The 12,879-nt window shown below is 46.1% G+C and overlaps 2 pseudogenes, besides 2 other annotated features; one reads left to right on the top strand and one right to left on the bottom strand.

The window, feature by feature from the left end:
- Positions 821–880: a silencer, noted in NCBI's record as "silent region_18783". NCBI's record gives its function as "represses an Ori minimal core promoter by ATAC-STARR-seq in GM12878 lymphoblastoid cells {active_cell/tissue: GM12878}" and the evidence as "EXISTENCE:reporter gene assay evidence [ECO:0000049][PMID:35858748]".
- Positions 921–970: a silencer, noted in NCBI's record as "silent region_18782". NCBI's record gives its function as "represses an Ori minimal core promoter by ATAC-STARR-seq in GM12878 lymphoblastoid cells {active_cell/tissue: GM12878}" and the evidence as "EXISTENCE:reporter gene assay evidence [ECO:0000049][PMID:35858748]".
- Positions 5,026–6,968, bottom strand: BET1P1 (Bet1 golgi vesicular membrane trafficking protein pseudogene 1; annotated as a pseudogene).
- On the top strand, positions 8,833–9,639 carry GIMAP3P (GTPase, IMAP family member 3 pseudogene; annotated as a pseudogene).

Raw genomic sequence — 12,879 nt, 5'->3', positions numbered from 1 at the left:
AAAAACTGAATCCATCTAAATGCAAATGTGCAAGTAACTGATCAAGCTCTGCCTCATTCACCTGAGAAAGTCCCCAGAGAGGAGCTCTGCCCACTCCCCCTGCACCCACCACCACAACACAGAGGCTCCCAGCATGACCGGGGCCACCCTCTTCCCTTCTCCCGAGCCCCTTGTTAACTTGTCAAGGGCTTGTCACTTTGGCTAAATCACATCATGAATGGGGTCAGATGTCTTCCTGGTCCCTGCGGAAATGAAATCCTCCTGGGTGGGGAAATCTCCTAAGCCTTGCCTCCCCCTCAGGTCAGAGCACAGGTAACCTGAGGGCAGGGCATTTGGCAGAAGTAAGAGGGAGCCATAAAATGTTTCAAGAAAGATGCCTGCTCCTTGTGCAGTGGAACCTGGAGAGTGCCCTTGGGTTCAGTCCTCACTGCCATCTAGAATTCAATATAGGAAACTCTCTTGGCCAGGCTCATGCCTATAATCCCAGCACTTTGGGAGGCTGAAGCAGGTGTATCACTTGAGCTCAGGAGTTCAAGACTAGCCTGGGCAACATAGGGAGACCCCATTTCTCAAAAAAAAAAACAACAAAAATAAGAAACTCTCTTTATGGCGCACTGCAGATGGTGGCTGGGAGATGTGTATATGTCCAGCCTGGGCCAGTAACAGGCAGCTGTTGGCCTTCCCTGGGATGCAGCCATATTCAGATGTTTAGTGGCTTTTCCGGGTCTCAGTGCTCCTGCTAATTCTGGTAAAAAGTTTGTTTTGCACAAAAGCATCACAGAGGTGTGGTGGGAAAAAGGAAGCAGAGCTGTTTTACAAACAGCTTCTTACCCTGGCTGTCTCTCAGGGCCTTGAGTCACCCTCTGAGGGCGGCTTTGTACGGAAACCCACACACATTGTTATTTTCCTGTCCCCAGGGATATGGTCCCTCTCTCTCTCTCTCTCTCTCTCTCTAGCAGACCAAATTTGTGGCCAGGTTCATCATGTCTCATTGCTCTTGTGTTTTTATAAAGAGCCTATAAGACAGTGAGAGAGACTGCCTAGGAGAGGGAGGGTTGCTCCTAGGCCATCTGTAGACCTTGCAAGAAATTCCAGGACCTGGCAGATAACAAGGCTTGTTTTGTTTTCTTTCATTTTCTCTTCTCTCCCCCACCCCGACCCCCCAGTTCTACCAGTAACAGTCTGTGCCAGCGTGGACAAGACACTTGATCTTTCTAAACCTCAGTTTCTTTATTCCTGAATTAGGAGAAAAAATCATATACCCTAAAGTCCCAGATATGTGCTAACTGAAAATATGACTGATATTATATTTTTAAGAACCTAAAGTCTGGAATAGAATGAGCTCAGATGGTACCCCTATGGTGATACTGATGAGCTCATTTCTTGTGTTTGTGCAAGAGCATTTTCATATATGCACATAGTGGCTGCTGCACCCTCTATGTGGGTACACATATGGCTTCCCCACAAATTGCAGGGCAAGGAAAGATCACCTGAACATCCTTCCCCCACCCTGGTCTTCCACAGAAGGTAGGGGATAGTCTTTGAAGGACAGGCTGAAAATTCATCTTTTGATTTCAATCTCATTTTATTCCCATTGCCTTTTGTTGTTGACTATACCACTCCACTTGATGGAAGTAGTTTCCATCTTAAAGAGGGGAGAAAGATTTCAGGAATAGGACTCAAGATGATCTGCAGTTATATATATATATATATATATATATATATTATATATATATGTATATATAATATATATAAATATATAATATATAAATATATATATAACTGTATGTATATATATACAGTTACGTTTATGTATATATTTTTCAAAGCAGTTTTAGAGTTACAGAAAAATGGGAATGAAAAATACTGAGAGTTCCCCTATACTCCTCACCTTTTGCCCCAATAATTTTCCCTGTTAGTAAATTCTTGGCTTAGTGTGGTTTATATATATATATAGAAGTAGTTAAAACTCCACTGTCCACAAGAATGAAGTCATAGATGGCAAGGGCTTTATTACTAGGCAGTTACCCTGACTCATAACCCTCTAACTGGCAGATCCTCACAACTGCACGTTATGTTTTTCTAATCAGCATGCCATTTATCTTTTGGAAACTCCAGTGAGGGAAGTAGAGAGAATATTATTGCTACTTTTGGCAAATGAGAGTAAGATAATCTGTCCAAGGTCAACCACTAGTTTCAGAGCATTTCACAGTTTTTCCAGTGGGGGTCTCCACCTTCCCCTTCTCCACCATGTCCCTCATAGTGGAGGGAACCATTCTTTACTCTCATTAGCTTAGAGATGATGCTCTCCCAGTTTGAGGCATGAGCTGCTCCCCTTCCTTCCTTCCTTCCTTCCTTCCTTCCTTCCTTCCTTCCTTCCTTCCTTCCTTCCTTCCTTTCCTTCCCTCCTTCCTTCCTTCCTTCCTTTCTTTTTCTTTCTTTCTTTTTGAGACAGGGTCTCACTCTGTCACCCAGGCTGGAGTGCAGTGACACAATCATGACTCACTGCAACTTTGGCCTCCTGGGTTCAAGTGATCCTCCTACATCAGCCTCCTTAGTCGCTGAGACTATAGGCATGAACCACTGTGCCAGGCTAATTTTTTTTTTTTTTTTTGGTAGAGATGGGGTTTTACCATGTGGCCAGGGCTGGTCTTGAACTCCTGGGCTCAGGTGATCCTCCAGTCTCGGCCTCCCTCCTAAAGTGCTGGGATTACAGGCATTAGCCACTGTGCCTGGACAGGTTAAACTGGTCCAACCATATTCCATGTGTGAGACATTTAATACCATTTTAAAATGAATTAATGGAAGGATTGATGGATATAAGATGAGTGAGGTGAGTTGATGGCCAGCCCAGAATAGGCTTTTTTTTTTTTTTTTTGGAGGGGAGCGATGATAGTGCTGTCCAGAGGGCTGGTGTGGCACTTGGGTGGGGTTCTCTGTAGTGGTGGTTTGGGCTAGAGGGATAGCACTGTGACTGGAGAGGAAAAACTCCTCAATAAAATAATTGAGGCAAATGAGAACAATCCTGATGTTTCTGAGAAGCACCCTTTTCACTTCTCTTTCTGTTCAGGCTGGATTCCGAGACAGTAGCAATTTCAGGTTCTCCTTCTCGGAGGAAATGGCCCGCCACCAATCTCTTGGCCAAACACAGCACGTGAATAGCTTTGCTGCATGTTTTCCCGGAGGGCTGATCCCTCTCAGCACACAGGGGCAGCCACAGATTCAGGCCCTACAGGCACTCAGTTTGCCCTGAAACACCTGAAAAAGCTGCCTTCTCCCTTTAATATCCTTTCACCCCCTCAATCTCGGGTGCAGACTTGGCCTCATGTCACTGCTGCTTTAGGAAACCCTGGAAATCTTAGTTCCCTGGTAGTTAAAAGGGGTAGATGGTATTACAAGACCGCCAAGTTTGCCAGGTCCCTGGCCTCCCCCAGTGTAGGAATATCCGCTTCCAAGTCCACCTACCCCTCTGCAGCTCTTTCAGCATCGCCTTATCTTCTCCTCACACACCTTTCCAGGCACCTACCAGTGCCACCTGTTTTCCTCTGATGCTCAGGAGCCCCTCCTTACCGGCTCCTGTGGAGACCACCGTTCAAGACAATCCAGGGGCAGCACATGAGAAAACAGAGAGTCTTGAGTTCTAAACCATCAGCATTGCAGCAAGATGGAGTGAAAAAATGGTTGGTTTTCCCATTTGCCTTCCCCCTCATGCAATCACATCTTTAAAAAATGTCCACCCCAATATCATTCTTGAAAAGAAAAGAATCATCCTTGGAAAGATGAGTTTTTTTTTTTTTTTTTTTTTGAGACAGAGTCTCACTGTGTCACCCAGGCTGGAGTGCAGTGGTGCAATCTCGGCTCACTGCAAACTCCGCCTCCTGGGTTCAAGCGATTCTCCCACCTCAGCCTCCTGAGTAGCTGGGATTACAGGCATGCGCCACCATACCTGGGTAATTTTTGTATTTTTAGTAGAGAAAGGGTTTCACCATGTTGGCCAGGCTGGTCTCGATCTCCTGTCTTCAGGTGATCCACCCACCTCGGCCTCCCAAAATGCTGGGATTACAGGCATGAGCCACTGCGCCTGGCCAAAAAGATGAGATTTATGTTCAGGTTTGCTCTTTCTCTGAGTATCAGTAGCAATAATCAGTTTTGACTATTGGCCAGGTTTCTCCAGGGAAACAGAATATATCTATTAAGAGATATATATCTATTAAGAGATTTATATCTAGAAATTGGCTCATGTGATTTCGGGGTCTGGTATGTCCAAAATCTGTAGTACAGGTGGGCAGGCTGGACACTCAGCCAGGAGTAGACACTGCAGTCTTGAGGTGGAATTCCTTTTCTGGGAAATCGGTTATTGTCTTAAGACTTTCAACTGCCTGGATGATTTCCCTCTATGTTCTGGAAGGTAATTGTTACTTCACATTAACCACATCTGCAAAATACCCTCACAGCAACACCTGGATTAGTGTTTGGTTAGATCATTGGGTACTATGGCCTTGCTAAGTGACACATAAGAATGACCATCACACTCAGTTTGAAGGGCCCTCTCACGGATTGCAGGATGACAGAAAGTGCTTTGGTTTCTATCCAAAACATCAGCACTTGCTTGGGTGTAAAAGCAAGGCTTGAGTTGTGTCACCAGAGCTGTGGGTGGATAACTCTTATTTGAATTGTGCGTACTGTGGGACAGACTTTGCAACCAGATTAGATTAGCTTCCTTGGGACCTGGCTAAAGAACAGAGAGATTCTAGGAGGCAGTACTGGTGCTAAAAATATCCTCAGAGCCACTTACAAAGAAATTACTAAATAGTTACCTCATAGAAAGTGAGTTTTGACATTTAGTACTTACATGAAAATGTTTCCAAAATTATTTATTTATTAATTTATTTTCCCTGCTAAAGTAATCACTGGCCAATTTAACTGTGTCTCTGTTGGGGGGCAGGGAGCTAGATACCATCTTATGTAGCATGATCCCAAGGAACATTAGAAAATCCATTTATTCCAAAAACTTTTTTCTTCATAAAAATATTTTATTTGAAAATTTATTTTTGGAGCCTATAAACGGGTAAATTCCAAAATAGTAGTAATACAGAGTTTTAAAGAATATTTTAATGTTCCTTTTTATTCGAGTCTGCCTTTGTGTTTTTCTTTCCATAAACAAATACACTGGATTAAAGCAACAATACTCTTATATTCAAGTTCAGTGCTTGAGTTTCTTGAATACTATTTCCATTTAGAGTTTAGTAATTACTTAACTTCACATTATTCTGTCACAAATGATAATATATATATAGTCCTACCGATATAGTAAAAATCATAAAACTATTATAAGCCAAGTCAACAGAATTTATAAAGTTAATATAAAACAATAACTATACGGATACACATGTGCATTGGTCCCTATTAGAACTATGCCAACATAACAAGCATTACTTAAAGAATGAGTTCTTTGGGCAGAGAGAAGTGATGGGTCACTATCATCAAAAATTATTAGTAAGATTATAGGTAAAAAGAAATCAGTCTATGATTTTAACTAAATAAAGGAGGAAACAGGAGTACATCATCACAGTTGATGCAGTTAGGAAAATTCAGTTACCATTCTATCACAGACTGGTTGACTACTTCTAGAACTACAGTCAGGCTCTTCAGGCATTCTGTTACTCTCTCACTAGAAGTTTCCTTACATGGGACATAAACCTACATTTATGATAACAACAGAACATGACAATGCTATTTAATCTGACAGTTAGCAAACAATAGAAAAGCAACTTGGAAATTGGTGGAGCCATACAGTCTCATTGCCCCTGAAGACAGGGGGCAAAATGAGTCATCAAGAAACAGTATTCAATCAACCCAAAAGCTGATCAATGATAGACTGGATAAAGAAAACGTGGTACATATACACCATGGAATACTATGCAGTCATAAAAAGCAATTAGATCGTGTCCTTTGCAGGTATATGGATGAAGCTGGAAGCCATTATCTTCAGCAAACTAATGCAGGAACAGAAAACCAAACACCACATGTTCTCACTTGTAAGTGGGAGCTGAACAATGAGAACACACAGACATAGGGAGGGGACTAACACACACTGGGGCCTGTCAGGGGAGGGTGGGGTGGGGGGAGGGAGAGCATCAAGAAGAATAGCTAATTCATGCCGGGCTATTAAGCGGCATGGTGATGGGTTGATAGGTTCAGCAAACCACCATGGCACACATTTACCCATGTAACAAACCTGCACATCCTGCACATGTACCTCAGAACTTAAAAAGAAAAATAAAAAACAGACAATATTCAAAGAGCACTGTATTATCTAATGTGATTTATAAAACAAGCAAAATGCAGCAATTTTCAATGGAAAATGCCATAGCGTTTGAAAACTAGGAATGTTTTGGTGCCGATTTTTATCAAAGTTGTACACCAAGCCATTAAGTTGGAACAAATTCCAACTTCACAATTACTTGCATCACCTCAGTTTACTAATCCAATAAATGACAAAAAAAAGACAAATAAATGAAACAGCATTGCAGAGCACAGCAGCTTTGTTTGGCTCCTTATGGATAAAATCTCCAGTTTGCCCATAGTTTTACCTAGAAATCCAGTTGTAGAATCAAATTGTGAATCCATTACAGCTAATAATTTATTTTGGGTTTTAACTTCATGGCCTATTTCAATGGAAAAAGATTTTATAGCAGTTACTTTGCTTCTCAGATTTTCAGTGAGTGTCTCATTTTCTTCTTCACGGGCACTATACCCATTATTAGCATAGCCATCATTCCCGGAGTTGTCAGGAGGTATTCCTTCACCCAGGCCTGCATGCTTCATTGTGCTAGAGGAGAGAGGGAAAAGGTGGGCGCGGGAGAGTTGGGTGGGTAGGAAAGAGCTAGGGGTGACCCGGACCACATCTTCAGTACCAACGCCCCGTGGAACACCAACTTCTTCCCCTAAAGCACCATGACATCAGTCCAAAAAGTATTTTTTCAATTGACCTGGCATAGGCTCTGCAATTCTGCAATTAGAGACTCACTTTTTAGCATTAATGCCTTGAGCCTGTTACAAGGCAACTCACTGAAACTTTGCACACAGCAAGGTCCTCATGTTGCTCTGGAATGGGTTGTATGGGTTTTTCATAGTAGCGAAGCCTGAGAAGTTATTCTTCTGTGGGGCCTGGGTGGATTTTCTACCCGAGCACTGGACGTAGGAGGTAGAAGGAAAGGTATGGAGGGAACAATGCAAGGAGGTGAGGGGGCTTGATGAGAAGTGCCCCTGGGGTAGCGAGGTCCGAGTCTGTTTGAGGTAGGAATAGGGAAGCACCCATCCTCCTCTGCAGCATAAGGCATTGATCTGAGCCCGACAAATCAGTTCTTCTCTCCAATTACTGGATGTACACGCCCCTACTCCCCACCCCTAACCTGGACCCATGACAATCTCCTACTCTTGGGGTAAACAACCCATCCTGGTGTGTCTGGGACTTTCCCAGTTCAGCACTGAAAGTCCTTCAATCAGGGAATCCTCTCAGACCTGGGCCAACCAGGATGGTTGGTCACCCTTTGTACCACCATCACCATGGAAACGTAGGGGAGAATTTCTTTTGTGAGTTTATTGAAAGTGGATGCTTTGCCGGGCACACTTTAGTTTGGGTACCAGCCCTGAGACCCTAAAAGTGGACAAGAACCCATGACAGCCAGATGTTCAGTTGGAAATAACTGCTGACTTTCTTGATCTGAGTGGACAGCATCCATCAGCCTTCCCTGCCTTCCATTCACTGCCTCCCATTAGCTAAATACAGGTGCTGGGAAACGCAGGCATGTGGTGCATTTTGGAGCTGCCTGTATGTTAAATAGGTGCTGGGAAACGTAGGCATGTGGTGCATTTTGGAGCTGTCTGTATGTTAAATACAGGTGCTGGGAAATGCAAGCATGTGGTGCATTTTGGGGCTGTCTGTATGTTCTTCAGCAGGAAGTCCAGGCTACTGCTGAGAATATCTGAAGTCAGCAGACCTGGTGTTAGTCTCAGCTCATCCCTTAAGTAATGTGTGACCTCAGCAGGGTTTTCTTTTCTTGCCCCAATTTCCTCATCTGTAAAATGTGATGCTTTGTGTTGGATATCACATCCGCCTCCAGTGTGAACAATCCATGTATGGTTTCCCCTCTAGGACAAAATAGAAGGGCTTCGAATGGGTGGAGAAGGTACCTTCTGCACAGGCAAGGGAACTGCACTTGGTGAAGTTCTTACAAAGATCAAGGGTTGTAGAATCAGAACTCGGGGGCAAACTTCCCACCTGGCAGTGAAAGGCACAAGACTATATTCACCTACGACAAGGAAAACACATTTCCCCCCCAGAAATACAGCATATTAAGCTGTTAGCTGCCATCTTCTTTTCAGTGAGGACAAGATTTTCCAAATAAAACTCTGTGATCGTGAAAAATCGAGATGAGCCAGGGATGGGAGAGGAAGAAAACATGAGACAGACCTTGCAGTGGCCGAGGAAACGGCCTCCTGCCAGCCCCAGCCCAGGCCCTCAGGGTGGGAAGTGCATCGAGGGAAGGCCAGAAAGGGGCAGAGCTCAGCAGTCCCAAAGGGAAAGAGCCCTGGAGCTCTGGCCAGCTGGGTAATCCCACAAACACTGTGTGAGTCCCTCTATTCTCTGTACTTGGGGTCAGGTGATGGGAGCGGGGCTATGGGGTCCTCACTGACCCAGGGTGCCAGTGCCTCTGGATGCCTTTGCCTTCTGTCTTTTGGCACCTCCTCCTCAGAATGCAGTTTTTATACCCTCACTCTTCACCCGCTCTCACAGGCTGAGGAGAAGGCAGGTTGGCTCCAGGATCACTGCTGCTGCTGATCCTCCTGGTGGGCAAAACAGGCTGTGGGAAAAGCACCACAGGGAACAGCATCCTTGGCCAGCCTGTGTTTGAGTGCAAGCTGGGGGCCCAGTCAGTAACCAGGACATGCCAGGTGGAGACAGGAACATGGAATGGGAGGAAAGTCCTGGTGGTCGACACGCTCTCCATCTTTGAGTCCAAGGTCCAGACTCAAGAGCTGTACAAGAACATCGGGGACTGCTACCTGCTCTCTGCCCTCGGGCCCCATGTGCTGCTTCTGGTGATCCAGCTGGGCGTTTCACTGCTCAGGACACAGTGGCCATCAGGAAGGTGAAGGAGGTTTTTGGGGCAGGGTCATGAGACATGTGGTCATCCTCTTCACCCACAAAGGGGACTTAGGGAGCCAGGCCCTGGATGACTATGTAGCAAACATGGACAACCTCAGCCTGAAGGACCTGGTGCAGGAATGTGAGAGAAGGTACTGTGCCTTCAACAACCGGGCTGCCGGGGAGGAGCAGAGGCAGCAGCAGGCAGAGCTCCTGGCTGCGATCGAGAGGCTGGGGAGGGAGCGAGAGGGCTCCTTCTACAGCAATAACCTCTTCCTGGATGCCCAGCTGCTCCAGAGAGGCAGGGCTGGGGCCTGCCAAGAAGACTACAGGCAGTACCTGGCCAAGGTGGAACAGTAGGTGGAGAAGCAGAGGTGAGAGCTGAGGGAGGATGAGAGTAACTGGCCATGCAAGGTGCTCCTCAGCGTCAAACACTAGATGCTTTCTTAGGTTGTCATGTCTGCCTTTTTATTACATGTGGTTTGATTGTTCTTACCATTTTAATGAACTTTTGTATCACTTGTGGACACTGAGCATTTTAGGTGATTTCTACAGCCTGCCTTTTTTCTTTCCCAGAGTTGCCATCTCTGTTTATGTGTGTACAGCACTTTGCTTGCTTTTTACAGAATTTCACTCCCAATTTATCTTCCTTGCATCAGACATATCATCAATTTTCCATCCAGTGCTTTTAGATAAATAAAATATTGGCTGGGTGTGGTGGCTCACTCCTGTAATCCTAGCACTTTGGGAGGCCAAAGTGGGTGGATCACTTGAGGTCAGGAGTTCAAGACCAACCTGGCCAACATGGTGAAACCCTGTCTCTACTAAAAATACAAAAATTAGCTGGAAAATCAGTTGAACCATGAGGTGGAGTTTGTAGTGAGCCGAGATCGAGCCACTGCACTCCAGCCTGGGCAACAGAGATTCTGTCTCAAAAAAAAAAAAAAAAAAAGAAAAAGAAAAAAAAAGAAAAAAAGAACGAAAAACGAGTTCTTTTTTATTTTTTTTTTAAGTTGTGAGTGTAAATCATAAACTGGCTGGGTACAGCTATGGAATATTTGGGGGCTTGCAGGAAGAAAGGTGCTTGGCTACGATGCTCTGAGAATGTCTCACCCTGGGCCCTGCTTTCTGCATTCCTGATGTCCAGGGGAGAAATGTGCTATGTGAAAAGCTGCTGGCAGAATTCCTTACTTTATTCATAGATATGCTCAGATTTATTTGCAGGCTGAAAAGGTGATGCCCTGCCCCCACCTCAGAGAGCAAGGATGGTGAGATCCATCTGCTGAACCAAGCAGGGGACCCTGTAGGTATGGAGAAGGCTGGAGGAGAAGGGGCTGGACTTGAAGGAAAGAGAGCAAGGGGTTGCCGTGGCCGGCTGGGGCCTGCCTTGGGGAAAGCAAGGAGAGCAGCTGGGAAATGCAGGACCTGGGATGTCCTGGAGTAGGAGTTTTAAGACCAGAGAGCAGAAAACCTGGGCTCAGCAGACTATATGGTAGATGTCCCAGCTACTTATCTCACCTTTGCCGCATAGACAAAGGCCACTATGGATAAGATTGTAAGTGGTGTGCAAGGCTGTGTCCCCTAGAACTTCATGAGCACTGAATTCTGAATTTCATGCAGTTTTCATGTGTGAAGATGAAATGTTATTTTTCTTCTGATTTTTTCAACCATTTGGAAATGTAAACACCCTTCTTAGCTCACAGCTGTACAAAACAGGTGGTGGGCCAGATTTGGGCCGAGGGCTGTCATTTGTTTCACTGATTTCCCATTGTTGGCTGGGCTGAACTGCAATGCGATATCTCTAACCCGAAACTCAGTACCATCCAGGACAGTGACGTGTGATGTCCATGGGAATTTGAGGAAAGGGTGGTGTTCCCCATCTCAAGCAGCAAAGAGAAGAAGGCAGACATGGGGCTCAAGTATGGGCAGATCGGGAATTCAGTGGAAACAGGTAATCAGATGAAGAGGAAGTCCCTGGGTCCCTCCACCACACCTTCTTCTTTGTGTTCGGTAAGGGAGACCTGCAGCCATCCCGGACAGGCCATGGCTGGATGGGCAAGTGACTACTCTGGGGTGAGTCTGAGGTGCTCAGCTGTGATGCCCCTTAGCAGCATCCTCCAGCACTGCTGCTGGCAATGAAGCTCCACGTCTGGCTCCATGGCACTGACTCCTGCATCGTCTGGCACAGAACTGATTCCAAACATGTGCAGGGAGTATGTTGTGTGCCAGCTCCCCAAACCCTGGGAACCCTGAGTTCTCAGACTGAGGACCACCTCCTCAATTCATTGTTCCCAAACTGCTCCAACTGAGCTTGACTTACTTAATTCAGTCCAGCTTCACAGACATTTATGATGTGAGTACTGAGGGTCAGGGTCAATGCCTGGCACCAGGAGTGTAAGATAAAAAATAACAGGCTTCTGCTCCCCAGGAGGGGTAGTGGGGTGGAGGGATGAAAGCACATAAAAGTGGGGCTGTAGGAGAAGGTTTCTTTTGGAAGCAATGTCAGCAAGAAGGAGACCACGGCAGGCTCTGCAGCAGCTTCCTAGACAGGGTGATGCTAAGCTGACTGGGAACATCCTTGCCTCTTGGGGAAGTCACTGGAGGCTGAGGGACACGTGATTAAGGAAGGGGATGGGAGTCAGCACATGGGAGGAGGGGTGCACAGGGGACTGGGGCTGGGTGGGGAGGGGGGGTCTGGGCCTCATTCTTAGGATTCAAGGGTGCCTTCTGGAATCCTCCCTGGAGGCTTCTGAGCAGGTTGGTGTGTCTTGGGAAAATCAGGTGGCAGCTGGGTTGTATAAGTATAAGCCTGGGGACAGGGATAACATTCGGAGGAAATCAGCACCTGCACTCCAGCAATAGCAGTGGGGATGGACAGGACAGATTCGGGAGAGGTGAGGAGGTGTCCTGCGGTGTGGTCTCTGATGGCAACATCGGGAGGGAACTCACCTCTGTCCTGGATGACTCTTTGAAATGTGGTTCCCTTCACTGCAGCAGCCCTGCAGAGGAGGAGTGGGCTGAGCCAAGGGAGACAAAGACTGCATATAAGTGTGGTGACCTTGAAGCCTCTGGAAACTGGTCCAGTAGATGTTGTCTGGGCTCTCCCTCCCTCCAGGGAGGCACTCTTGATTGACATAGCCATGATCTTAAGAAAGCATTACAGAGCGGCGCTGCCAGAGTAGCTTCCTTCCAGTGTGGGGATGGTCCATTCCTGGGTCGCCCAGTCCACACTCCCTCTACTAACAAGGAATCGCTTTCATGGTGAGCAGGATTGCCTGGTACCCAGTCAACAACCTGTCCCCCACCCCCACCCTGTGGACATTGACTTCCAAAGAAATAGAGCTGGAGAGTTGATCCAAGGACATTTTACAGTGGAGAAGGAGAAAGAGTTTGCTTAACCTTTCTCATGTGTGAACATTTGCCAAAGTGATTCCTTGCAGAGCATTGAAATGTGAGCTGTGTTTCTTTTGGGCCCCTGGCCAAACTGAGAAGAAAGCACAGAGAAAGCCCTGCGTACAGGGCACCCCATTTCCTTGACCCTCTCCCACTCCCATTCGTCAATGCAATCCATCCATCTGAAAGTGTTTTGCTTTACTCAGAGTTCAGGGAATGTCCACTATGTGGCAGGCACTTCAGTAGGAGCAGGAGGTTCTTCCTAATTTTAGGAACAAGAAAAGCCAACCCTGTTCCTTTATTCTAGATGCCACTTGCTCAAAGGAAGCATGTGG

Source organism: Homo sapiens, chromosome 7 (genome assembly GCF_000001405.40).
Source record: "Homo sapiens chromosome 7, GRCh38.p14 Primary Assembly".
Lineage (NCBI taxonomy): Eukaryota > Metazoa > Chordata > Mammalia > Primates > Hominidae > Homo > Homo sapiens.
The sequence above is the reverse complement of the archived record's forward strand: the minus strand, read 5'-3'. Positions and strand labels throughout refer to the sequence as shown.